The sequence below is a fragment of the Homo sapiens genome, chromosome 1 (assembly GCF_000001405.40).
Source record: "Homo sapiens chromosome 1, GRCh38.p14 Primary Assembly".
Classification (NCBI taxonomy): Eukaryota; Metazoa; Chordata; class Mammalia; order Primates; family Hominidae; genus Homo; species Homo sapiens.
The window spans coordinates 10,316,247-10,341,626 of NC_000001.11; the positions used below are offsets into that span (position 1 = coordinate 10,316,247).

Below are 25,380 nucleotides of genomic sequence, written 5' to 3' on the forward strand. Positions count from 1 at the left end.
AAGATTGCTATAATGGTGATGTTGTGTACTTCCTGTTGCATCACATCAGTAGACATAAAATGTCAGTTTGTCCTATTATCAATAATGTTAAAGTTTGGTAAATTTGGTTAATGTGATGTTTCCCAGCTCTCTGCATTGTAAATATATCATTTCCCTTCTTAAATAGATATCTGGGCATGGACTTTGGATCGTATGCATATCCTGTTTCCCATGCATCTTTTACTCAATTATTTTAGCTTTTTGTTGTTTGTTGCTATTGTTGTTGTTTTTAAGATGGGGTCTCTTGCTCTGTAGCCCAGGCTGGAGTACAGTGGCACGATCTCGGCTCACTGCACCCTCCGCCTCCCGGGCTCAAGTGATCCTCCTACCTCAGCCCCTCTAGTAGCTGGGACTACAGGTGTGTGCCATCACACCTGGATAATTTTTGTATTCTTTTGTAGACATGGGGTTTGGCCATGTTGCCCAGGCCAGTCTGGAATTCCTGGGCTCAAGCAGTTTGCCTGCCTCAGCCTCCCAAAGTGCTGGGATTATAGGCATTGAGTCACTGTGCTTGGCCTATTTTAGTATTTATTATCCTTTCTTGATTCAGTTATTACATCTGGGGTTGCAATATGGTGATTTTCCAATTGCCATTTCTTCTGCATTTATTAGCCACCTTTTTTTTGTTTTTTTGTTTTTCAGATGGGATCTTGCTGTGTTGCCCAGGCTGGAGTGGCTATTCACAGGCCTGATCATAGCGCACTACAGCCTTCAACTCCTGGGCTCCAGGGATCCCAGGGGCTGGGCATGGTGGCTCACACCTGTAATCCCAGCACTTTGGGAGATAATTTAACTTTCTCAGAATTAGAAGGCTAGTAAGAAAAAGTGCCAGGACCCCAAACCCAAGCCTCTTTAGCCTCGAGTAGCTGAAATGAACAGGTGCATGCCCCATGCCTGGTAATTAGCTAGCTTTTAAAAAATTTTTATTTAAAGAAGAGTTTCCCCTTTTTCTCTCCTTCTTTCAGTATCACCATGGAATCATGAATTCTTTCTATATTCAATGTACTGTGCTATTTTTCTGTTGATTTATTGGCCAGTGGGATCCTGTGTCCTTTTGAAATGGCCCCAGTGGTGTTTGAGTTCTTCCATCCTTTCTGACACAAAATATTTCAGACTCACCTTGTACTTTCCTTGCTTCAGACCTGGAAGCAGCTATTTTTTTCAAGGAACCCTGGTTCCTTTCAGTGGCAGTGGTACTTAGAAACCAAGATCTAGGTGCTAAGTATGCTTAAACAATAACCTTTTATAAAAAAACATTGCCTGAGGCCAGGCGCACTGGCTCACATCTATAATCCCAGCACTTTGGGAGGCCGAGGTGGGCGGATCACGAGGTAAGGAGTTCGAGACCAGCCTGGCCAACATAGTGAAACCCTGTCTCTACTAAAAATACAAAAAATTAGCCAGGCACGGTGGCGTGCACCTGTAGTCCCAGCTACTTGGGAGGCTAAGGCAGGAGAATCGCTTGAACCTGGGAGGCAGAGGTTGTGGTGAGCCGAGATCGCATCACTGCACTCCAACCTGGGTGACAGAGCGAGACTCCACCTCAAAAAAAAAAAAATTGCCTGACATTTTGATATTGTATTACCATGTAAGAGGGCTTTCACGTGTTTTTAAAATGGTTCATCTCTTGGTCCTTCCTCTAGTACTGTGTGGGTAGGCAGGTCAAATGCTAAAATCTTTATTTAAAGATGAAGAAGGTGAAGTTTAGAGATAATTTAACTTTCTCAGAATTAGAAGGCTAGTAAGAACAAGTGCCAGGACCCCAAACCCAAGCCTCTTACCAGTTTAATTTTTTTTTCTTTTTTTTCATAACATGTAGTCTCCTAAAAAAGTGTGTTTAGATATCTAGTAAAGCTATGTAGTTGGTTCGTGGTCTTGGTCACTGCCTGCCCATCTAAAGAGAACACTTCCTTTGTGAGAATAACTGACAAACGACCAGAACCATAGAGGATATTTGCATCCTTCTGAGCATTGCTTGGGAGCTCCTTTTGTAATGGAGTTTGCTAAATGGCTTTCAGCAGTGCTTTATGATGCATGGAATGTTTGATGTGGGACTTGGAGAGCTCTGTTTGGAAACAGTGGATAGTCATACTTATACCCTTTGTCTCATGACAGCCTGTAATTGGGTCACTGCTAGGGAACCAAAAGAAGCAGGGCTGGGTGCGGTGGCTCACGCCTGTAATCCCAGCACTTTGGGAGGCCAAGGTGGGCAGATCGTGAGGTCAGGAGTTCGAGATCAGCCTGGCCAACATGGTGAAAACCCATCTCTACTAAAATATAAAAATTAGTCGGGCATGGTGGCGGGCACCTGTAGTCCCAGCTACTGAGGAAGCTGAGGCAGGAGAATCGCTTGAACCCGGGAGGTGGATGTTGCAGTGAGCCAAGATTGCGCCATTGCACTCCAGCCTGGACAATAATAGAGTGAGACTCCATCTCAAAAAAGAAGGAGGAAACCCTGGCAGTAAATCTTAAAATGCTATGCTTATGCTGTAATTTAGTATTGCGCTGTTTGAAGGTCTCTTTCTTAACCCTACTTATTTTATTTTCACTAAAATTCAAGTTTTTCAAATTAACAACCTAAGGAAACTTTTTAGACATTTGTCCCCTATTCTCTGCCCACCATGAGAGTTTAATACCTCAGATATACTACATATCTGTATACTGATTATATTTGTACTTCATATATTAAAAGACTAAGATTTTTTTCATCCTCTGAGAACCATTTTTTGGCCCCTTTGGGGTGATATTACCCTTATTGAAAAACGCATGGAGTAGATGGAAAAATGAAGGATACATCTGATTTGTATTACAATAATCCTTTTTTTTTTTTTTTTTGAGACAGAGTCTCGCTCTGTCTCCAGGCTGGAGTGCAGTGGCGCGATCTCTGTTCACTTCAACCTCTGCCTCCCGGGTTCAAGTGATTCTCCTGCCTCATCCTCCCAAGTAGCTGGGATTATAGGCACGTGCCACCATGGCCAGCTAATTTTTGTATTTTTAGTAGAGACAGGGTTTCTCCATGTTGGTCAGGCTGGTCTCGAACTCCCGACCTCAGGTGATCACCCACCTCGGCCTCCCAAAGTGCTGGGATTACAGGTGTGAGCCACTGCACCCGGTCAGTAATCCATCTTATAGTTGCATATTGAAAATAAAGTGTCTTACTTGAATAACTAAATGCAGTCTATAAATTATTTCAGTCCTAATAGCACTATGAGCTTTTGGTTACCTGAAGGCTAAACTCATCCTACTGATCAAAGATAGTAATTTTTCACAAAGAGGAAGCATCAAAGTCTACAATCTTAATTTTTTTTCCTTCCAAAGAGTTAGATAATTGAGATTTTTGATGATACTGGTGAATTTAATCTTTTTCAATATTGTTTTTCTCTGGAATTTATTGATATATAAGATATTACTTGAATATATTCTAACGCTTAAGGTATACACGTGTTATTTCACCTAAAAATTCCCCCTTTCTCCTACCACTACCCCAGATGAAGAACTCTTGAGTCTTTGAGGGAGTAGAAACATACTGCAGTGAGTTTTTTCTTTTTAACATTTACCCATTACAGACCATCTTGTGTGCTTTGTGGGTTTTTTTCCTAAACATTTCCCTGTATGTCTTTTTATTATTGTTTCCTGCCTTTGTCTCTTTTCCTTGTCCTTTGCTTTCTCTACTTCCCCCAATATTCCTTCCATTTCTCTTTCCCTGCCCTCTTATTTCTTCCCTCTCCTACATGTTATCTCCTTTCTTTTCATTCAGGACTATGAGAGTAAATTGCAGGCCTTGCAGAAGCAGGTTGAAACCCGATCTCTGGCTGCAGAAACAACTGAAGAGGAGGAAGAAGAGGAAGAAGGTGAAATCTAGAGACCGAAAGTTTCCTGTGTATATCTTTTTGAAGTTATATTATCAAATTAGTCATTTATGCATAATCAAAGCTGGATTCCTCTTAGTTGGCCCTATCATTTATTGACATTTTACTGAGCCAGTTTACAGATGATTGAATAGATGTGCAGTGTTGAGAATCCAGGCTGTATTTTATGAGGTGGGGATGGGAGTGATGGTGTTCTTAGACCTTCGCACGGTTTCTGAGCACGTTCATTTAAATCCCTTAGGAAGTTGACCTGCACTGTCTCTCATATTGCTGTAGATGTGACTTTTAGATATCCATTACAAATATAGAGCTGAATCTTTGTTAAGACAGTCTGTTCAATTTGAAGCCATTTCTGGCAAATTTCTAATCATATTGCTTAGTCATGTTTGCCTATCTTAGGTTTTCCAGCATTTCTTAGTTGAGTTAGGGCTTTCATTATTACTTATTGCCTTATAATGCAGTATGAACACTTACCACAATTCGTTTTTCTACCCAACCTCTTGGCAATCTCAAGGCTTCAAACTAACTTTGAAGGAACTCTTAATTTATGTATTACATTTCTTATTTATTTATTTACTTATTTATTTTTGAGACAGAGTTTTGCTCTTGTCGCCCACGCTGGAGTGCAATGGTGCAGTCTTAGCTCACTGCAACCTCCGCCTCCTGCCTCCTAAGTAGTTGGGATTACAGGGATGCGCCACCATGCCCAGCTAATTTTGTGTTTTTAGTGGAGATGGGGTTTCACCATGTTGGTCAGACTGGTCTCAAACTCCTGACCTCAGGTGATCTGCCTGCCATGGCCTCTCAAAGTAATGGGATTACAGGCATGAGCCACTGCGCCCAGCCAATTTCTTATTTTTAAATAAGTGAGATGGTACCTTTTTTCTCTCTGTAACAGAAAAAAAAAAAGAAATATATGAAGTCATACAATGTAACAGAGGTCAGGAGTTTGTCTTTTTTTTTTTTTGAGACAGAGTCTCACTTTGTCACCCAGGCTTTAGTGCAGTGGTGCAGTCTTGGCTCACTGCAACCTCTGCTTCCTGGGTTCAAGCAATTCTCATGCCTCAGCCTCCTGAGTAGCTGGGACTACAGGTGTGTGCCACCACGCCTGGCTAATTTTTGTAATTTTAGTAGAGATGTGGTTTCTCCATGTTGGCCAGGCTGGCCTCAAACCCCTGACCTCAGGTGATCCGCCTACCTCTGCCTTCCAAAGTGCTGGGATTATAGACGTGAGCCACTGTGCCTAGCCAGGAGTATTTTTTTTTATTGTGGCCACATGTTATACCTTTTTTTAAAAAAAAGAAAAATTTATTTCTTTGTTGTACTATTTTAAATAAATACAAAAGTAGGATTTTTAAAGATTTTCTGAAATGTATATATTGCTTTCATAATATCAACAGAATTTGGTAAGCTTTACTAAAAAGAAACAAAAGCAGCTGAATGGAGAGAAACTGGAAAACACCTCACCTTGGTAAAAGAGATAAGCTAGAAGAGAGGTGTAATTTTTATATAGTTGTAAGATTGCCATTAAATATGCATCATTCATTCTTTCAGTTCCTTGGACACAGCATGAATTTGAGTTGGCCCAATGGGCCTTCCGGAAATGGAAGTCTCATCAGTTTACTTCATTACGGGACTTACTCTGGGGCAATGCCGTGTACCTAAAGGAGGCCAATGCCATCAGTGTGGAACTGAAAAAGAAGGTATGGAGCAGGAGGACACAGGAGAGCTGGAGGCAAAGCCGAGCCTGCTGTGGGTGCATCTGGGTTCTCACCTTGAATTAACCTTTCCTTTGGGGGAACTCAGCTGCTTTGTGCTATAAAACAGCTTTATATATGTCTTTATTTAATATATGTGGCTGGAACATAGTAGGTGCTAATTAAATTTTTGTTAAATAAAATTTTTAAAACATGTTTTCTAGCTTATTTTACAAATAGACTATATTCCTACAAAAACTGGAGAAACATAGTAATAGAAAAATACTTCTCTTGGGTTTCTGAATAATTTTAATTTTCTTCCACTTTTCTGTTATTAAGTTTGCACCTCTAAGTTTGGTATGCCCCTTTGCCATTGATCTGCTTCTCCTCTAGGGTCTGAGAGGCACTGCTGTGTAGTGGACAAGCACATGCACCCTGGACCCAGACAGTCCAGGTTCCAGTCCCAGCTCCACGAGTGGTGTTGATCCCCCTAGCCCTGTGCCTCCATTCCCCCATCTACATAATGGGGTTGGCAGCAGTACCTGGCACCAAGGGATTTTGTGAGGAATGAAAATGGGCATATGCATAAAGCACTTATAGTGTCTGGCATGGTAAAAGGCAATAAATGTTATTCATTTTTGTAAGTATTACCAAAACTTCACACCAAACCTTAGATTCAGTCTTCTGTATGCCCCCGTGTTTATCAGTTTCTTCACTGCTAAGATTACAGTGGAAGACCATATTGTGTAGTAGGTAAGAGCATGGACCACCTAACTTTGGGGAAATTAATTATCTTCTCCTAGAACTAAATTCTAGTTTTAGGGAATACGATATGTTCTTCATTCATAATCTTGGCAGCCTTTCTCATTTTATAATTATTTATTAGCCACTCCTCTCCTCAAGTAGACTAAATAAAGGCAGTAACTGTCTTTTTTTCTTACTACTGTGCATAGCATTTAATTAATATTAAATAATTGTTTAATAATTGTTGGTGAAACTATAACGTGGTAGGGAGAAATAAATGATGCAATGTCGTGAAGTACTTACCATATTTATTAAACACTTTTATAAAACCATATTTATTAAACACTTTTTTTTATGAGATAGGATCTGGCTCTGTCGCCCAGGCTGGAGTACAGTGGCGCAATTATGGCTCACTACTGCCTCCACCTTCTGGGCTGGGCTCAGTTTGTAGAGACAGGGTCTCACTGTGTTGCCTAGGCTGGTCTCAAACTCCTGGGCTCAAGTGATCCTTCCGCCTCGGCCTTCTAGTGTGCTGGGATTACAGGTGTGAACTTCCGTGCCCAGCCAAATAAATGCTTTTAAGAGCAGTAGTTGCAATCCTCTGAATTTAAAATGGGAAACCTTGCTGTGTTTTCATCCTCTCTCATTAGTGAGGGACTAGATATGCATTTTGTGGTCGACCTTTTGTTCTCTGGTATAAATTCTATAAAAGTCTTCATTCATTCAATCAAAATGTATTTATAAAGATTTTATGCCGGGTGTGGTGGGTTGTGCCTGTGATCTGAGCCGCCGAGGTGGGTGGATCATTTGAGCTCAGGAGTTCAAGACCAGCCTGGGCAATGTGGTTAAACCCCATCTCTACAAAAAATTTTTAAAAATCAGCTAGGCTGGTGATGCATGCCTGTAGTCCCAGGTACTCAGGAGGCTGAGATGGTAGGATCACCTGAGCCTAGGAGGTGGAGGCTACAGTGCTCTGTGATTGCATCACTGCACCCAGCCTGGGTGACAGAGTGTAACCTTGTCCCCACCGTGCCTCCCCTCAAGAAGATTTTCGTATGTGCAAAAACACTGCCAGGCTAGGAAAACAAAGTCCTTAAATAGCTTAATTTGAAGTTAGGGTTATTCCCTATGACTGCTAACAGGTGGCCATATTTTTCAGTAGAAAGTTAGTCACAAGATATTTGTTGAGCACATTCGACCTCTTTCCCATTGGGTATGATTGTATCGTCTCATCTCTGAAGCTTGCTTGCTGAAAACCATTTGTCAATGGTTTATTCTTTCTATTCAGGTGCAGTTTCAGTTTGTTCTGCTGACTGACACACTGTACTCCCCTTTGCCTCCTGAATTACTTCCCACTGAGATGGAAAAAACTCATGAGGACAGGCCTTTCCCTCGCACAGTGGTAGCAGTAGAAGTCCAGGATTTGAAGAATGGAGCAACACACTATTGGTCTTTGGAGAAACTCAAGTATGAAAACATTCATAAAGGCTGGTTGTTTTATTTAGGAAATAACAATGACCTGCTCAAGTGAGCTCCCTCCAGCTCTCCTCTCTCTGAGGACACTGTTGCTTACTTCCCTGTACTTTCTAAATGCTGTTGTTGGCCAATGGTATTACCATCCATCTGTTTTCTTTTAAGTGAATAAATGCACTCCTCACACACTCTGACATTTGTAGATATTTAAGTTTACCCTCCATAGACCCTCTTATAAATTTTAAATATTCCAGTTTCATCATATTTCTGTTACAGATTTGGAACTTATTTATTTTTTCTATCCTGGACCTCAGGATAATCAATAATAAACATGGAAGTTATAATCTGGCTTCTTTTACATGTAGTATAATGAGGTATTTCCCCCGTCTCAGTGTATTTGAGATGTCACATACAGTTGACCTACAATATTCCCCCTTATGACTTTTCACCCGGTAGAGGATAGGTGGCCATTCTTGACTTTTGATGGCTTATCTCTAGAATCAAGACACTTTAGATACTGAGTGTTGGTTTCTGTATTTTTGGGCTTCATTCTTTTTAGTAACATTAAACAGTGGGAGCAACTCCTTTTTTTTTTTTTGAAGAAAATCTTGAACGGAAGATGCTTCCAAAGTGAAAGTTTAATGCAATCTCATTATATTAACCCAATGTGCTTTGTGTTTACTAAATAGGCAGAGGCTGGATTTGATGCGAGAGATGTATGATAGGGCAGGGGAGATGGCCTCCAGTGCCCAAGACGAAAGCGAAACCACTGTGACTGGCAGCGATCCCTTCTATGATCGGTTCCACTGGTTCAAACTTGTGGGGAGGTATGTGATGATTTTGTTGATGTCTTCTTTTAAAATAATGATTAGTTTTAAGTGTTTAAAACCTGAGCAGATAATATAAAAAGTTAAGAGGAAAAAAAAAGGTGTAAAAAGGCCTTATCTATAATCTTATCCACTCACAACCACTGCGTCATTTGGTATATTTCCCTTCAGTTATATTCAGCAGGCATTTTTGTTTCGACTCTCAAACTTTCAGCCAAAGTATTTAAATCTTCCCTGACTTTAAACTTACAAAGTGTTCTGTAATTGATTAAGATAAATTTAGAAGGAAAAGAAAACTTACGCCTGTATCCTACACAGTTTAAATTCATAGTACAGCTTATCAGACACAATCTCTTCGTGATCTGATTTGTTTTTCTTTTTTTTAAAAAGCAATTCATCCCACTTTAGTCATTGCAAGGGTAAATTAATTGCACCTTGGTAGTCCCCTTCAGCCTCATTTTTTTTTTATACATTATTTCCAGCACTTAATGAAAACACATAGTGCCTCTATGAGTCCATATTGAGTCAAGTGTTCTTAGAGGTTTTCAAATTTTCAAAGCAGGGAAATTTAACTTTGAGCTTATGATTTCAGAATTTGAATTGCTTTTTCAATTGCAGAAAACCCTGTGATGTTTTTTAAAGAGGCTGGGTAAAAAGGAGTTGCTGAAGTCATAGTATGTTGTGGAAATGAAGTAAATCTTTTCCACTCTGCTCTGATAGCAAAGTAGTTTTTCAAAGAGATGAATTGGCCAAACACATCTTACCCTAGCAAAGCACATGCTGCTTTGCCATATGCCATTTCATCCATTTTGGTTTCTGCTCCAAAATGACGTGAGAATTTCAGTAAAGACTGAAAGCCTTCTTGTTTCACTTTGATGTTGAGTGGGTCCTTTGAGGCCTGGATGCTGATCTTTTATGTGAACTGGAGAATGTAAACGTGTTATAGCACAGTATTTACCTAGGATGGTCTACTCACGTGTTTCCTTTGCTTTTCTTATTCTAAGGATTAGTCCTTACATAACTTTTTCAACTTGCCCTTGTTCCCTTTCACCTGACCCAAATGATTTATGCTTATTTTATCCTTTTGCTTTTCCATTTGCTTTTATTGTGTTGATTCCCCAGTGGATTCTGTCCTGTTAGCACCTATTGCTTCCTGTTTAACCAACTATTCCTCTCTCCCTGGCTGTGTTAATTGGCGTCTTACCTGGTGTCTAGCTCCCCCATTTTCCACGGCTGTGTGAACGAGCGCCTTGCCGACCGCACACCCTCCCCCACTTTTTCCACGGCCGATTCCGACATCACTGAGCTGGCTGACGAGCAGCAAGATGAGATGGAGGATTTTGATGATGAGGCATTCGTGGATGACGCCGGCTCTGACGCAGGGACGGAGGAGGGATCAGATCTCTTCAGTGACGGGCATGACCCGTTTTACGACCGATCCCCTTGGTTCATTTTAGTGGGAAGGTTGGTGAGGTTATTGTGAGAAAGGCGAAAAGGGACCAGCTCTTGCTCTGAAGGCCTCCCTGCTTGCACAATTTTGGATAACCTTGCATTAGCCAATTCAACTCATGAATGCTCTTTTTCAAGTTCTCCAATACTTCAAGCTCTTAGTCAGTGCTGGTCTGGCTGAGATGGTTCTCAGGCATTGTGTGTGAGGTCCTCAGTCTACTCAGCACAATACGTAGCAATATATGAAGACTGCATGGAAGACACCTTGTCTTAAATTGCCCAGTAATTTTGTTCTGAAGAAGGGAACCCCAAAGGAGAAAGTAAAGCTAAGAGTCAAACGTAGTGGGTTCAGTGAATAGTATTATGGTCTAGATGTTTCCTTTTTAAAGGATTGTGATTGAAAAAGCATATGGAGGTAACATGAGAGAGGGGGCAGAGTGAGGCCAAGGTTTGGCTGAAGAATTTGTGGTACTGCAGGAGTCAGAGGACAAAAGTAGATTCAGGAGTAGAGTTAAATTTATTTTTTGCTTAGTCTACTGAATCCTAAAAAGAATCAGGAAAGTTAAGCTTCTCCTTTACCTAAAACGGATGCCTGTCTTTGGCCAGTTTCACTGAGCCTATCTACGGATCTTTGGCATCTGCTAAAATTTTAACCTATAGGGTTTATAATGATAAAGCTCAGAAAATCATCTATTGACCCCATCAGCAGTGAATATTGGCCAGGCACGGTGGCTCACCCCTGTAATCCTAGCACTTTGGCTCACACCTGTAATCCCAGCACTTTGGGAGGCTGAGGTGGGTGGATAACCTGAGGTCAGGAGTTTGAGACCAACGTGACCCATGAAACCCGTCTCTACTAAAAATACAAAAATTAGGCTGGGTGTGGTGGCTCACGTCTGTAATCCAGCAGTTTGGGAGGCCAAGGCGGCCGGGTCACCTGAGGTCAGGAGTTTGAGACCAGCCTGCCCAACACGGTGAAACCCCGTCTCTACTAAAAATACAAAAAATTAGCCGGGCATGGTGGCGGGTGCCTGTAATCCCAGCTACTTGGGAGGCTGAGGCAGGAGAATCACTTGAACCCGGAAGGCAGAGGTTGCAGTGAGACAAGATTGCACAACTGCACTCCAGCCTGGGTGACAAGAGCGAAACTCCGTCTCAAAAAAAAAAAAAAAAAATGAATATTTGTTTGGTGCTATATGAAACTGCTTTGTGTTAAGACTAGGTCACCAAACTGAGGCATTGTCTCTGGCTCTCAGTTTGTGCATCCATCTTTCAGTGATGCAGAACTCTCTATGCACATGATCCTAATACTGGTGTCTTTGTTCATCTCCAGCCTTCATGCTGAGGTAATTTAAATTACAAGTTCAACAGTAGAGCATGCATTGAATTAACCAAAAAGTATGTCCAGGTTTAAAAGTATTAAATTTAAATTTAATGGTACATTAGAATCACATATTGTTGAATCCTTTATAAATAAGGGAATTATGTCAGTGTTAAATGGATGAGTACCAGTTATCTAAAAATTAAAGGATAGCGAGTCTCCTGACCTAGTAGAGACATAGGTTCTAAAATTTATCTCACCAGGTGCAGTGGCTCACACCTGTAATCTCAGCAACTCTGGAGGCTGAGGCCAGAAGTTTGAGACCAGAGTGGGCAACATAGTGAGACCCTGTCTCTTTGAAAATTTAAAAAACAATTAGCTGGGTGTTGTGGTGCATGCCTGTAGTCCCAGCTCCTTGGAAGGCTAAGGCAGGAGGATAATTTGAGCCCAAGAGTTTGAGGCTGCAGTGAGCCATGATTGCACCACTGCACTCCAGCCTGGGGACAGAGCAAGACCCCAAGTCTACCAAAAAATATAAAATAAAATAAAACAGAATTTGTAGTATGGTATTGGTCACATGGTCGGAACCTCATAACTAAATTAGAAGATGATCATTCTTATGGAAAGGGGGAAAAGAAAAGCTTTTTTGATAGAAATGAAAGCCTCAAGTGTAACTGTAGGTCATAGTATTAGACAGTCTCTGGGTTTTCCAGTGGCAAAGGAGCATTTAGAATTCAGTTTTTCCATGAATAAACATAAAGGGATTATGTGGCCATGAATATTGTTTTCTACTGGCATATCGCCATGAATAGATAACGTAGAATTTCAGAGAAGCTGATTTTTATTAAAATTGAGAAAGGTATGTACAAATAATGGGACAATAATGCTTGCTTCATTTGATGGCTGCCTGTGTTCTTCAGCACGTTTCCATCCTGTTCTAAGGGAGTTGGAAGTTAAAACCCAGTTTCTGGCCATAAACTTTGTCCCAGTGCTAATTACACAGTTTCTAAAACTGTTCGCTTGTGTTCTATACCATTGCAGTGAAGAGTAGGCAGCTTCATCTTACGTAACATGGTGAGGAGAAGCCTGACCTAATTGTCAGGAGAAGCCTTGGGTCCTAGGCCATCTCTGTCACTATGACAAGCAACTTAAAGTGAAGCCTTTGGGCTCTCAAGTGTAAAGTGAATAACAGGTAGAAATAAAGAGCCATAAAGATCTTTTTCAACTTTCATATTCTGTCATCTACACTAGCAAAAATGAATATCCTGGTTAAGACTTCTACTAAGAAGCATTTGTATTTTGAGGAAGTTGTGTGGAAACTCAAGACAATCCCACTTAATGTGGAAATTAACTGAGGATACATGTATTGTTTTCTCTCTAGTTTTATAGTTTTCTTTCTTTTAATCATGTCAGATGTAAGTATAGGTATAAAGCAATCAACTCTATTTTGATTTTCACATAAAATACTTATGGAGCTGTGGCTCAGGAATTGATTTTTCCATTTGTTTAGGTTCCCAAGTTCTAACCTTGCAAGAAAGGACTGGGGGAGGAAGTGAAATAATATAATAGCAATCAGTAAAGTGAAGGATAGCTTTCCATTTTTGCCCTTGACTACATTTCTCTTCTACAAACAAAATTTACAATAATGCAACATCACCCAGTTGTGTAGTGGTCATTGTATGTGTAAGGAAAGTAACTACTTTCCTGTTTTTGTGATTCACAAGATTGGATTTCTCCTATTGGCATATAATTGCCAATATAAATCACTTGTAAAATTTTTAGTTTCTGGCTGGGTGCGGTGGCTCACTCCCGTAATCCCAGCACTTTGGGAGGCCGAGGTGGGCAGATCATGAGGTCAAGAGTTCGAAACCAGCCTGGCCAACATGGTGAAACCTCGTCTCTACTAAGAATACAAATATTAGCCAGGCATGGTGGTTTGTGCCTGTAATCCCAGCTACTCAGGAGGCTGAGGCAGGAGAATTGCTTGAACCCGGGAGGGGGAGGTTGCAGTGAGCCGAGATCGCGCCACTGCACTTCAGCCTGGGCAACAGAGCAAAGACTCTGTCTAGGGGGAAAAAAAAATTAGTTTCTTGTGAAATTCCATTAGTAAGTTTGTTTTTTAGCCATGACTGCCTCTGCTAAAACTTTATATTGCAAGTGAAAAAGAGCTTGTCCCTTTAGCTATTCTCTTATGGCATGCTGGGATGTTATGAACCATCCATCATAATTTGGGATGAAATGTAAAATATTTAAGCTAGTCTTCTGGGTTAAAAGGGGGTTAAAGATGATGATTCTGTGATCTCTCTAAGTACCTTAACTGACATTCTTTCTATAAGTAGCACCATAATTTTGCTAATTTTTCTTATCTTTATGTTGACCAGTTTGTTCCACTTTTTGAAGTAACTTCATTGAACTTTCTGCTAACGTATCCTTTCCATATTCCCCTCTCTCATCCCTGTTCTCCTTCAGTCTGCTAGGTCAAAGTATAAGGATTCTCAAAAATGCAGAGTAATTATGAAAATTCTGTTTAAAAAGCTTCAGAATAGAATGTTTATATAGCATTGATTTGGAGCTAAGGGCTATATTCTGGTAACATAACAAGGTGCTATCTAGTGAATGTGTGATTGTGTAGTCATGGAGCTGATGTCCCTGCCATAGAATTACAGAATTATCTAAAAAGGGAAATCTATAATAATGGCCTTCAATGCTCCCACACTTGGACTAGCCATTGCCATAGGCAGAAAGGCAATCTCATCTTTACTGTGTGTGCAAACAGTACTTTAATGTAATGTGTGCTTAATATAAGCTTTCTTTAAAAAAAAAAAAGGTGGCTCCTGTTTTTGAATAGCTATTTTTAAGATAGATATAGTTAGGAATCTAAATGTGTTCTATATAGTTAATATCCATTATGAGGTGGCTCTGAAAAATCAACCTAGTATAAGTTGGATGGCTTTGCTTTTCTGCTTCTGTTATAACCCATTTTTCTAGAAAAGCTTCCACTTCTACTTAAAGATAAGAGGCAAATCATTTTCCTGTTCCCTTATGCACATAGATGTTCACTTACCAAATATTTATAGAGTGGCCCAGCCCTCTGCAGACAGTGGTGAGCAAAACCAGACATGGTTCCTGCCCTCATAGACTTATAGTCTGATGGATGACACAGACATAAATTAAATAATTGCACAAATAAATGTAAATTATAGCAGTGATGAAATAGTTGTGTGTGTTGTCGGAGATCACATAACGTTGGGGGACCTGTTATGAGAAAGTGGTGTTTGAAATAAGACCTGAAGATGTGAAATCAAAGGCGTGAGGCTGGGTGTGGTAGCTCACGCCTGTAATCCCAGCACTTTGGGAGGCTGAGGTGGGTGAATCACCTGAGATCAGGAGTTTGAGACCAGCCTGGCCAACATGGTGAAACCCCACCTCAAAAAAAAAAAAAAAGACATCAAAGGCATGAGGTGTAGGCATCGAGTGCAGAGAGGACTCCAGGCAGGGGACATGTGCGATGGCTCTTTAATGGCCCAGGCCTTGAAATGGGCAAGTCTAGCTGGGGTGCCCATAATAGAGGAGGGTGATCTGTGTATGTGTTGACTTTGAAAGTGAAATTATCCATTTGATACCTTACGCCAAATTCTTTGTCTTTTAAATTCTGTTGCAGTAGTTGTTGTTTGAGGGTCTTGTTTAGAACTTTTTAGAACTTTTCATTCTTACGTTTTTTTACACCAGAGCTTCAACTCTCTGTTTCTTAGCATTTCTCTCTCTCCTGCTTTGGAGCAGACTGAAAGGGAAGTGGCATTATTTCATCTGATTTAATGTTCATTTGCAGTTATTTTTGTTATATGTTTCATTTGTATTTCATTTATGCTCTAGTTATGTTAACATTTGTTTTTCTGTGATGTATTATGTCTGTTTTCATAATTTTCATTACTTTGAGTTGAAATCCCAAATACCCAGTCTATCCTCCTCCTCTCTTTGTTTTAAAATAGATTTCAGAGCAGGAAAAGCATCAGATAAACATGTATGTCACTTGGTTTTGTTTGATTTATTGATACAAGTGTCTGTCTTTGTCTTTTGTCTTATGTTCGAAGATCAGCATATACCAAATGGGAAGACTGGAATCATAGTAGGAACTAGATTCTATTTCCCTTTCACTAATTGGAATGAACACTCTAGCTTTGTGACCACCAGTTTTTATTGCTTTTTTAAAAAAGTAGTAGCTACACAATAAAGAAGAAAATACAAATGTGATAGGACTTTGCTAGTTTGCTTGAAATATAAAGTGTTAGAGCTATAATTTAGCTTTCACTTATGCATTTCTGAATTAGGTTTTGAACTCTAGGAGCAAACGCAAACCTTTTAGGCATCAACTGTCATCTTCTCCCTTAACATTTATCTTTTTTCTTTTTTTCTCTTGAGACGAAGTCTTGCTCTTGTCCCCCAGGCTGGAGTGCAATGGTGCGATCTCGGCTCACTGCAACCTTCACCTCCTGGGTTCAAGCGATTCTCCTGCCTCGGCGCCCCCGAGTAGCTGGGATTATAGGTGCCTGCCACCGTGCCTGGCTAAATTTTGTATTTTTAGTAGAGATGGGGTTTCACCATGTTGGCCAGGCTGGTCTCGAACTCCTGACCTCAGGTGACCCGCCTGCCTCGGCCTCCCAAAATGCTGGGATTACAGACGTGAGCCACCATGCCCGGCCCTTAACATTTATCTTGATGCCCATTCAGAGTCTCCTCTAATCTTAGAACTCAAAAATTTCTTGCTGCAGAGCTTCTCTGCCCATATGTGTCTGCTGACCTCACCTTGTCAGTCACCCTGCCTGAAGATAATAGTCATTTTTTTTTTTTTTTTTTTTTTTTTTTTTTTTGAGACGGAGTCTCACTCTGTCGCCCAGGCTGGAGTGCAGTGGCGCGATCTCGGCTCACTGCAAGCTCCGCCTCCCGGGTTCACGCCATTCTCCTGCCTCAGCCTCCCGAGTAGCTGGGACTACAGGCGCCTGCCACTATGCCTGGCTAATTTTTTGTATTTTTTGTAGAGACGGAGTTTCACCGTGTTAGCCAGGATGGTCTTGATCTCCTGACCTTGTGATCGGCCCGCCTCGGCCTCCCAAAGTGCTGGGATTACAAGCATGAGCCACCGCGCCTGGCCTCTTTTTTTTTTTTTGAGACAGAGTCTCACCCTGTCACCCAGGCTAGAGTGCAGTGGTGCAATTTTGGCTCACCACAACCTCCACCTCCCGGGTTCAAGCGATTCTCCTGCTACAGCCTCTTGAGTAGCTAGGACAACAGGTGCATGCCACCATGCCCGGCTGATTTTTATATTTTTAGTAGAGACAGTGTTTCGCCATGTTGGCCAGGCTGGTCTCGAACTCCTGGCCTCAGGTGATCCGCCTACCTCAGCCTCCCAAAGTGCTGGGATTACGGGCATGAGCCACCACTCCCAGCCAATAATAGTTATTTCTTAAAGTAACAATAAATGGCCAGGCACGGTGGCTCACGCCTGTAATCCCAGCACTTTGGGAGGCCGAGGCGGGCAGATCACCTGAGGTCAGGAGTTTGAAACCAGCCTGACCAACAGGGAGAAACCCAGCCTACTCAGGAGGCTGAGACAGGAGAATCGCTTGAACCCGGGAGATAGAGTTTGCAGTGAGCTGAGATTGCGCCATTGCACTCCAGCCTGGGCAACAAGAGTGAAACTCCATCTCAAAATAAATAAATAAATAAGGTAACAATAAAGACCCATAGGCCAGGCGCGGTGGCTCACGCCTGTAATCCCAGCACTTTGGAAGGCTGTTGCGGGCGGATCACGAGGTCAGGAGATCAAGACCATCCTGGCTAACATGGTGAAACCCTGTCTCTAGTAAAAATACAAAAAAATTAGCTGGGCATGGTGGCGGGCGCCGATAGTCCCAGGTACTCGGGAGGCTGAGGCAGGAGAGTGGCGTGAACCTGGGAGGCAGAGCTTGCAGTGAGCCGAGACTGCACCACTGCATTCCAGCCTGGGTGACAGAGTGAGACTCCATCTCAAAATCAGACAAAAAGCAACCAATAAAGACCATATGCTGTGATATGGAATTTATTTTAGAGTTATTAACTGTATTTCGTCCCATTTCCCTGCCTTTTTTGTCTCCTGGTTTCTGTTTTATCTATTGGGAAAAATGAAACAAAACCTCTTTATAATTTCTTAAATTAAAAGGTTAAGCTCGCCTGGGCACGGTGGCTCACACCTGTAATCCCAGCACTTTGGGAGGCCGAGGCGGGTGGATCACAAGGTCAGGAGATTGAGACCAGCCTGGCCAACATGGTGAAACCCCATCTCTATTAAAAATACAAAAATTAGCTGGCTATGGTGGCACGTGCCTGTAATCCCAGCTACTCGGGAGGCTGAGGCAGGAGAATCACTTGAACCCGGGAGCCGGAGGTTGCAGTGAGCTGAGATCGTGCCACTGTACTACAGCCTGGCGACAGAGCGAGACTCTGTCTCAAAAAAAAAAAAAAAAAAAAGGTTGAGCTCTTGAATGGGCTCCTCCTCCAACCTGCCCGAGCAGCATTCATAGAGCAGTATCTTGAAAGTCTGCTTCCAGGTGTGACTCTTCTCCCTACAGTAGTTAAGTTTTAGAGCATGATTTGGTGTGTGTTGGTCTTCGTCAACAGTTCTGCCAAGCGTTTGCTTGTTCATTATCTGTGCTGAAAAGGCAGCTGGAGGCAAATCTGAGAGGCTAGGACTGAGAAGGGGTCTTAAGACAAGGCCAGAAGTCAGCTCACAGTTGCAGGAAGATGTTCTCAGTGAATCTGAAAGCCAGTTTATCTCTCCATGGATGTTCTGACATTTGTCTCCTGGTTTCTGTCTTTAGGGCATTTGTTTACCTGAGCAATCTGCTGTATCCCGTGCCCCTGATCCACAGGGTGGCCATCGTCAGTGAGAAAGGTGAAGTGCGGGGATTTCTGCGTGTGGCTGTACAGGCCATCGCAGGTAGGTGACCCTCTTCTGAAATGAGAGCTGTGAGTTCTTTGTCTAGAGACAAAGCAGGCTGATTCTGCGTGGGTCACGCTTATATTACACATACAAACTGTGGGGAGTTTGTATGTGTAATATACAGACACATACTTTGGAGAAAGCCTTTATTGCTCCTTTCTAGCAATTGTTCCCAAGTATCACAAATAGATCCTGCTTAGTCCAGACTACTGCTACTTTGCAATAATGGGGTAAAGAGATTTCCTTAAACATGTTAAAGAACAGCTCTTGCATTAACTATATAAAAGTCATTGGTGTGTTGTTTTTTTTTTTTTTGAGACAGGGTCTCACTTTGTCGTCCAGGCTGGAGTGCAATGGTGCAATCATATCTCACTGCATCCTTCACCTCCAGGCTCAGCCATCCTCCCACCTCAGCCACCTGAATAGCTGGAACTACAGATGCACACCACCATCCCAGCTAATTTTTAAGTTTATAAATTTTATAGAGTTGGGGTCTCATTATGCTGCCCAGCATAGTCTCGATCGAACTCCTGAGTTCAAGTGATCTTCCTGCCCTGGCCTCCCAAAATGTTAGGATTACGGGTGTGGGCCATTGCACCCGGCCAGTCATTGGCCTTTTATTTTGTTTTGAGACGGAGTGTCGCTCTATTGCCCAGGCTGGAGCGCAGTGGCACAATCTCAACTCACTGCAATCTCTGCTTCCTGGGTTCAAGCGATTCTCATGCCTCAGCCTCCCTAGTAAATGGGATTACAGGTGCCCACCATCACACCCAGGTAATTTTTATATTTTTAGTAGAAACGAAGTTTCACCATTTTGGCCAGGCTGGTCTGAAACTCCTGACCTCAGATGATCTGCCCACCTCGGCCTCCCAAAGTGCTGGATTACAGGCGTCAGCCACTGCACCCAGCCTGGCCTAAATAATATATCTTAACTGCTTCATTATTAACAAAGGATTGTTAGGCCTTTGTCTTGCTTAGTTGTTGTTTTTTTGTTTGTTTGTTTTTTTCTCAGAGTACTTGTAATAGACATTTGTTTGGCTGTTGTTTTGTAATGCACGGGTCAAGCTGATATAAGCTGATTGTGGTGGCTCGTGCCTGTAGTCCCAGCTACTTGGGAGGCTGAGGCAGGATTGCTTGAGCCCAGGAGTTTGAGGCCAACCTGGGCAACATAGTGAGACCCCATCTCTTAAAAAACAATTGAAAAAAAAAAAAGATTTTGGTATTTTCCATTTTTCCATGATCCAGCCTATGTTCTGAGGAAAGAATGTGGTCATTTGCTGTAATCTTTCTGTCTTAATTCCCAAATGCTGGGCTGTGTCCAGTGACCTTTCAGCCTTTCCCCTATGGAAACTTGTGACACAATCACCAGTGTTGAGTATATGGAAGTCTCCTCCACAAGTACAATATAATATTTTCAAATACTTGTTGGGTATTATTGACTATTATCTTGCCAGCATGGAGACAGTCAGGATTTCTAGGTATGACATTTGAACAATCTCAAGAATAAAACTGATTCTTTTTTTTTGAGACGGAGTCTCGCTCTGTTGCCCAGGCTGGAGTGCAGTGGTGCAATCTCGGCTCACTGCAACCTCCGCCTCCCGGGTTCAAGCAATTCTCCTGCCTCAGCCTCCTGAGTAGCTGGGATTACAGGTGCCCGCCACCACGCCCGGCTAATTTTTGTATTTTTAGTAGAGACGGGGTTTCACCATGTTGGTCAGGCTGGTCTCGAACTCCTGACCTCGTGATCTGCCCACCTCAGCCCCTCAAAGTGCTGGGATGACAGGCGTGAGCCACCGCACCCGGCCTGAAACCGATTCTTTATTGACTAGTCTCATTTGAGCTGAGGAAGTTGATAAATCTACATGAATAGAGTGCGAAGCAGCCCATGCCGTGTTACTACTTTGGTATCATTCTCTCATGCCAAAGACTTGAGTTTATAATCCAGCAAGAGCTTTTTCCCTCCCTCCCCCTGTGTAGTCTCACTCAATTCTTGCTAATTTTTTTTTCTGCTTTAGCGGATGAAGAAGCTCCTGATTATGGCTCTGGAATTCGACAGTCAGGAACAGCTAAAATATCTTTTGATAATGAATACTTTAATCAGGTGAGAAACCGTCAGGAAGAAGGAAAACCCTGTGGAAAGAGAAAGAATGTTCAGCATTGGAGATCAGTTCTCCTGTAAAACTGAAAAATACAGGGTGCTGGTTGCCACAGAGTAGTTCAATAGAATATGGGACATGTCTAACAATTATGAAGGTAAAGGTGTATAGACTCAATATTCATATTTTATTCATTGCCTTTCCTCAGACAGCCCTCAGTCCATATAATTTTCCAGTCACTATTATTTGTTGGACAGATAAACAGAAGTAAGGCAACTGGGGAAAAATACGTTTTTATACTACTTTACCATGTATCTGCCCCTGCCTTTTTTTCAGAGTGACTTTTCGTCTGTTGCAATGACTCGTTCTGGTCTGTCCTTGGAGGAGTTGAGGATTGTGGAAGGACAGGGTCAGAGTTCTGAGGTCATCACTCCTCCAGAAGAAATCAGTCGAATTAATGACTTGGGTATGTAGACATAGTTTACTGTGCTTGGGGACATTTTCGACAAAGGGAAAATATTGACCATTATCAAGGGACATAGTGGCCTTCATCAACTAGGAATGGAAAGCATGCCCAACTCCCTCCTCTTTGCATTATTTGAACCATCTGTGTCTTCATTTGACCCTCTTTAGATTTGAAGTCAAGCACTTTGCTGGATGGTAAGATGGTAATGGAAGGGTTTTCTGAAGAGATTGGCAACCACCTGAAACTGGGCAGTGCCTTCACTTTCCGAGTAACAGTGTTGCAGGCCAGTGGAATCCTCCCAGAGTATGCAGATATCTTCTGTCAGTTCAAGTAAGCTGCCCCTTTGCTCTGCCTCCCAGCTAGCTGCTAACCGAGGTGACATCTCTTGTGCACTGTAGAGTGCTTTACATGTGTGAGGGATTAACACTCTTGAGACAAAGACTGATCAGTCTCTGAAGGAAAATACTTTCATCACTCCTATGGGAGTGAGAACCAGAAACCTGTCCTGGAATGCAACAGGGTTCCCTGGCAGGAGGAGCATGCTGCACATCCTGCTGCAGGGCTCTGCTGTGAGCGGTCCCCCTTTACCAGGAATGTAGGGTCTGATCACATAAGCCTGTTGATGAGTCTTTCTAGTCCTCTTCATGTTGAAATGTCTTATTAATAAGCCTGAAAGCAATGACTTATCTAGCTAGCAATTACGCCTATTTAATACTCGGGAAAAGGAAAATTTAAACAATGTAAAGAAGGATAAATTCTACATCAACTGAAAAAAGCTAGTATGTAGGGAAGATGTGATACCTCTCATTTCTCATCTACATAGGACTTGCTCTTTCCCGCGGCCCTCTCAAACCCTGTGCTCTGGATGCTTTCTTCTCAAGACTGCCCCAGGAAAACATTTTTTTGTGAATCTTCAGTTTTAATACCTCCAAACTTCAATTTGTCTTTTCAGTACTTGGAAAGGGCCACAGTACAAGAGACTGAAGTGTGACCCCTCCATACCTACCGCCCTCAGTTTGCCACTGGTGCCACCAAGAGGCTGCTTTGGGTTCTGCCATCCCTCTCCCCTCAGAATGTGCCTTGGCCGTCCCATGGGTCCTAGTGCAGTTTATAAAGCTTTTGTATAGGTTTTATCACAGAAAATTGAGTCAAATGTGATTTAAATTAAATGTGATCACTATATAGTAAGCCACTAATATCATTTGCTACAAGTCATAGTTGTTGGAATATTACCCATTGAGCATTGATTTCACCTATTTAATGTGTTTTCACTCATACCCTCAAACTTAGGGCAGGATAGTGTTCACCAGATGAATCTGTTTTTTGGAACTGTTGCTATTATTCTAATCAGGCAACTGATACGTTTTATGGAAAACATCTATTTGGTTAACTGATGTCTGAAGTGACAATAATAGTGAGTTGACCTTTGTCCTACAATCTCCTAAAAAGAGCAGCATCTCTACCTGGTGTTAGCTCTGGGGAAAAGGGCATGTTGCTTCTGTTGAAAGCAGCCTCAAAGGCGTCCTGTGTTTTTATAGTCGCTCCTCTGGCCTGTGCCGGGAAGGTATGGCTGCAGAGCACTGTGAATGAGTTCACCTGTCGTCAGGGAACCCCAGGAATGCTGCGGTGCCAGCAATACAGGAATCAGGGATTTGGAGCACTTGGCAAAAGCATGCTAGTGTTCTCAGACGGGTGAACTAATTTGGAAGACAACAAGTTCATATTACCAGTCTGTCTGTCCCCCCAGTTGAAAATAGTTTCTTTTTCTCCATTTTTTCTTGATGGAAGGGGTGTCCTTCTGATGGATTTTTCTATCTGGCAGTAAATCTTTGTGTTGGGTCCTCTTTAACTGTGCAGTTCTTTTTATTTCAGACTAATAATAGGGAGAGAGAGAGAGAGAACGATAACATCTCACTATCTGTGAAAATAACTAAATATAGCCCATTGTTTTAACAAATCTTTCCAGAGTATCTTCTGTGTGTCGAGACCTGTGGGAAAACGCTTGCTGTCTGGGGGAGAGAGGCATATAAATACATTATTACAGTGAAATCATTGCTATTAAGGAAAAAAACATTACTAGTAATGTGGGAACACAAAGCTGCCAGGGTAAGTCAGGAAAGACTGCCTGGAAGAGGTGACATTTGAATCCACAACAGACTCTTATGTAACTATGCCATCCACAGGCTCTCGCACTAACTGTGGAAGCTTGAGTCTGCTAAATTTTGTCTGTACAAAATGACATTGTTTTTATTTTTAGTAAAAAGCTTTTACAAAGGAAGAGGAGTTAATTGAATGTACTTCTTCACTCTCTCTAAAGCATTCTTGCATATACCTCCATATAGCTAAGTGATCAGGGTCAGTTAATTTTTCAGTCATTTTTGAAATAAAATCTAAAATGCCCTCTGTGCAATATGGAAAAGGTTCTTGACAAGGAAAGTAAATAACTTAAAGAATCTGCTTAAGTGGAATGCTTCTTTCTGTAGGATCCACATTGGGCTCTTGAAAGAGATTCTGATAAAACCGTTTAATGCATTGTTCACGAGTCTTTTTATTTTTTTTATGAAGCTTTTTGCATCGCCATGATGAAGCATTCTCCACGGAGCCCCTCAAAAACAATGGCAGAGGAAGTCCCCTGGCCTTTTATCATGTGCAGAATGTAAGTGACATGGACCTTTTTGCCAAACATATGTTTTTCTGGTACCTTGGCTTTCTCAGCCCGGGAAGGGTGATAAGAAGAGGTACAAGTCACTGGCTGTGCAGGGGGAGAGTAGACAATAGAGGGCGTGGCTAGAGTGGTGAGGTCATCCACAGCGGCCTGAGCAGCAAGCCTTCTTGTCTGTGTTACAGTGGGCCTAGTGAATGTGGGTTCGTCTGCCAATAAAATCTTCCATCAGTTTGAATGCAATGAGTTGTTTTAGTGTTTCTGTCCTAGAAAAATAAGCATGCTTAATAAGAGTTTTATTAAAGTGAATGCATTGTCCTTTAAACCCTAAGATACTTATGTTGCTCGATTGCAAATAACATAAAAAATATCAAATACCTTCTGTAGCTAAATTAAGATTTAGATCTGTTTTCCTTGCAACTGATAGTATAATTAACACATTAATGCCCTTTACAACTGTATTCCTACGTGGAGTAAGAAAACAGACCCTTCCCTCTCTTACGTGAAATTTCATTCAAACTCTATTCCAAAGTCATTATCCTCATCACAATAGCTAATATTCACTGAGAGTTTATTTTGTGTTAGTCACTGTTCTGAGAGTTTTTGTGTAATTTAATCTTTACCTTTATACCATAGATTAAGATAATCCCTGTGTTAGCTGAGATGACTGAAGCATAGAGCAATTAAAGTCACTCATCAGGCTGGGCGCAGTGGCTCATACCTGTCCCGGCACTCTGGGAGGCCGAGGCAGGTGGATCACTTGAGGTCAGGAGTTTGTGACCAGCCTGGCCAACATGGTGAAATCCCATCTGAGACACGAGAATTGCTTGAACCCAGGATGGGGGGGTTGCAGTGAGTTGAGATTGTGCCACTGCACTCCAGCCTGGGCAAGAAAGCGAGACTCCCATCTCAAAAAAAATAAAAAAGTAATAATAAAAATAAAGTTACTCATCAGTGTTACAAGAGGCAGAGATAGGACTTAAGCTCAGAGAAATTTAGCTCTGGTATTCAGGATATTCACTACTACATGAAACTGTCTCTCATTCTCTTGCTAACCATGTCTGCTCTCTAAAGTAAGAGAGGAAAGGAGAACTTCAAAGATGGAACAAGCAAACACAAAATATGCCATCTTCTTTTTCATGTTGGTATAAATATAAGCAAGCATGTATCTGATAAACTTTGATCAGCTGCTGTGCACAAGGATTGTGCCTGACAACTGGGGAATGCAGATGAATCTCAGATGCTCCCAGTGAGCTTCGAATTACGATAGGGGAAATAAAATGCATACATAAACACCAGTCATGCAAAGATGAACATGAGAAAATATTCACTAAATGCAGTGGGAGTGGAGAAAGGGAAAGTTATTTCTATTAATGGAAAGCTATTTTAAGTTACTTTTTGTTGGGGAGGATAGTTGGGTGGAGAAAGGGGATAGGAAGCTCCCTGAAGGATGTAGTATAAGCAAGAAAAGGTGTGTCAAACTTGGCATTGTGCCTGGCACATAGGCCATAGTCAGTACATGCATGGATGTGCTGGAAGGGCCTTCCAGGCAGGGTTGCAGCCTGGGCCAGTCCTTGGCACAGCTGAGGAGAGAGCAGGTGAAAGGAGCAGCAGGTGAGTGAGTGAGCCAGAATAGTAAGTGTGGGAAGGACAACAGGGGCCAAGATCAGTTGAGGCAAAGTATGGAAGATCTTGAATACCTGAAGCTGGGAAAAGTTACTTTAGAATTAAAAACAACATAGGGGATCCCCTGTTTTTTGT

General features: G+C 41.9%; 1 protein-coding gene across 3 annotated transcripts in view, besides 2 other annotated features; it reads left to right on the plus strand.

The window, feature by feature from the left end:
* Positions 1–25,380, plus strand: part of KIF1B (kinesin family member 1B) — a 171,034-nt gene that overhangs the window by 105,677 nt on the left and 39,977 nt on the right. For all 3 annotated transcript variants that reach the window (NM_001365951.3, NM_015074.3, NM_001365952.1), the window contains 10 exons: positions 3,797–3,890; positions 5,463–5,611; positions 7,638–7,816; positions 8,512–8,649; positions 9,865–10,113; positions 18,274–18,392; positions 20,411–20,496; positions 20,828–20,957; positions 21,125–21,287; positions 23,523–23,613. In NM_001365951.3, the coding sequence (NP_001352880.1) occupies positions 3,797–3,890; positions 5,463–5,611; positions 7,638–7,816; positions 8,512–8,649; positions 9,865–10,113; positions 18,274–18,392; positions 20,411–20,496; positions 20,828–20,957; positions 21,125–21,287; positions 23,523–23,613 (1,398 nt within the window). The remainder of the gene's footprint in view (positions 1–3,796; positions 3,891–5,462; positions 5,612–7,637; positions 7,817–8,511; positions 8,650–9,864; positions 10,114–18,273; positions 18,393–20,410; positions 20,497–20,827; positions 20,958–21,124; positions 21,288–23,522; positions 23,614–25,380) is intronic.
* Positions 1,735–2,276: an enhancer, noted in NCBI's record as "OCT4-NANOG-H3K27ac hESC enhancer chr1:10378039-10378580 (GRCh37/hg19 assembly coordinates)". NCBI's record gives its function as "activates a minimal SCP1, AML or CMV promoter by ChIP-STARR-seq in naive H9 embryonic stem cells {active_cell/tissue: H9 hESC(naive)}" and the evidence as "EXISTENCE:reporter gene assay evidence [ECO:0000049][PMID:30033119]".
* Positions 9,242–10,441: an enhancer, noted in NCBI's record as "BRD4-independent group 4 enhancer chr1:10385546-10386745 (GRCh37/hg19 assembly coordinates)". NCBI's record gives its function as "activates an origin of replication core promoter dependent on BRD2, P300/CBP, MED14 and CDK7 cofactors, and independent of BRD4, by STARR-seq in HCT116 cells {active_cell/tissue: HCT116}" and the evidence as "EXISTENCE:reporter gene assay evidence [ECO:0000049][PMID:35650434]".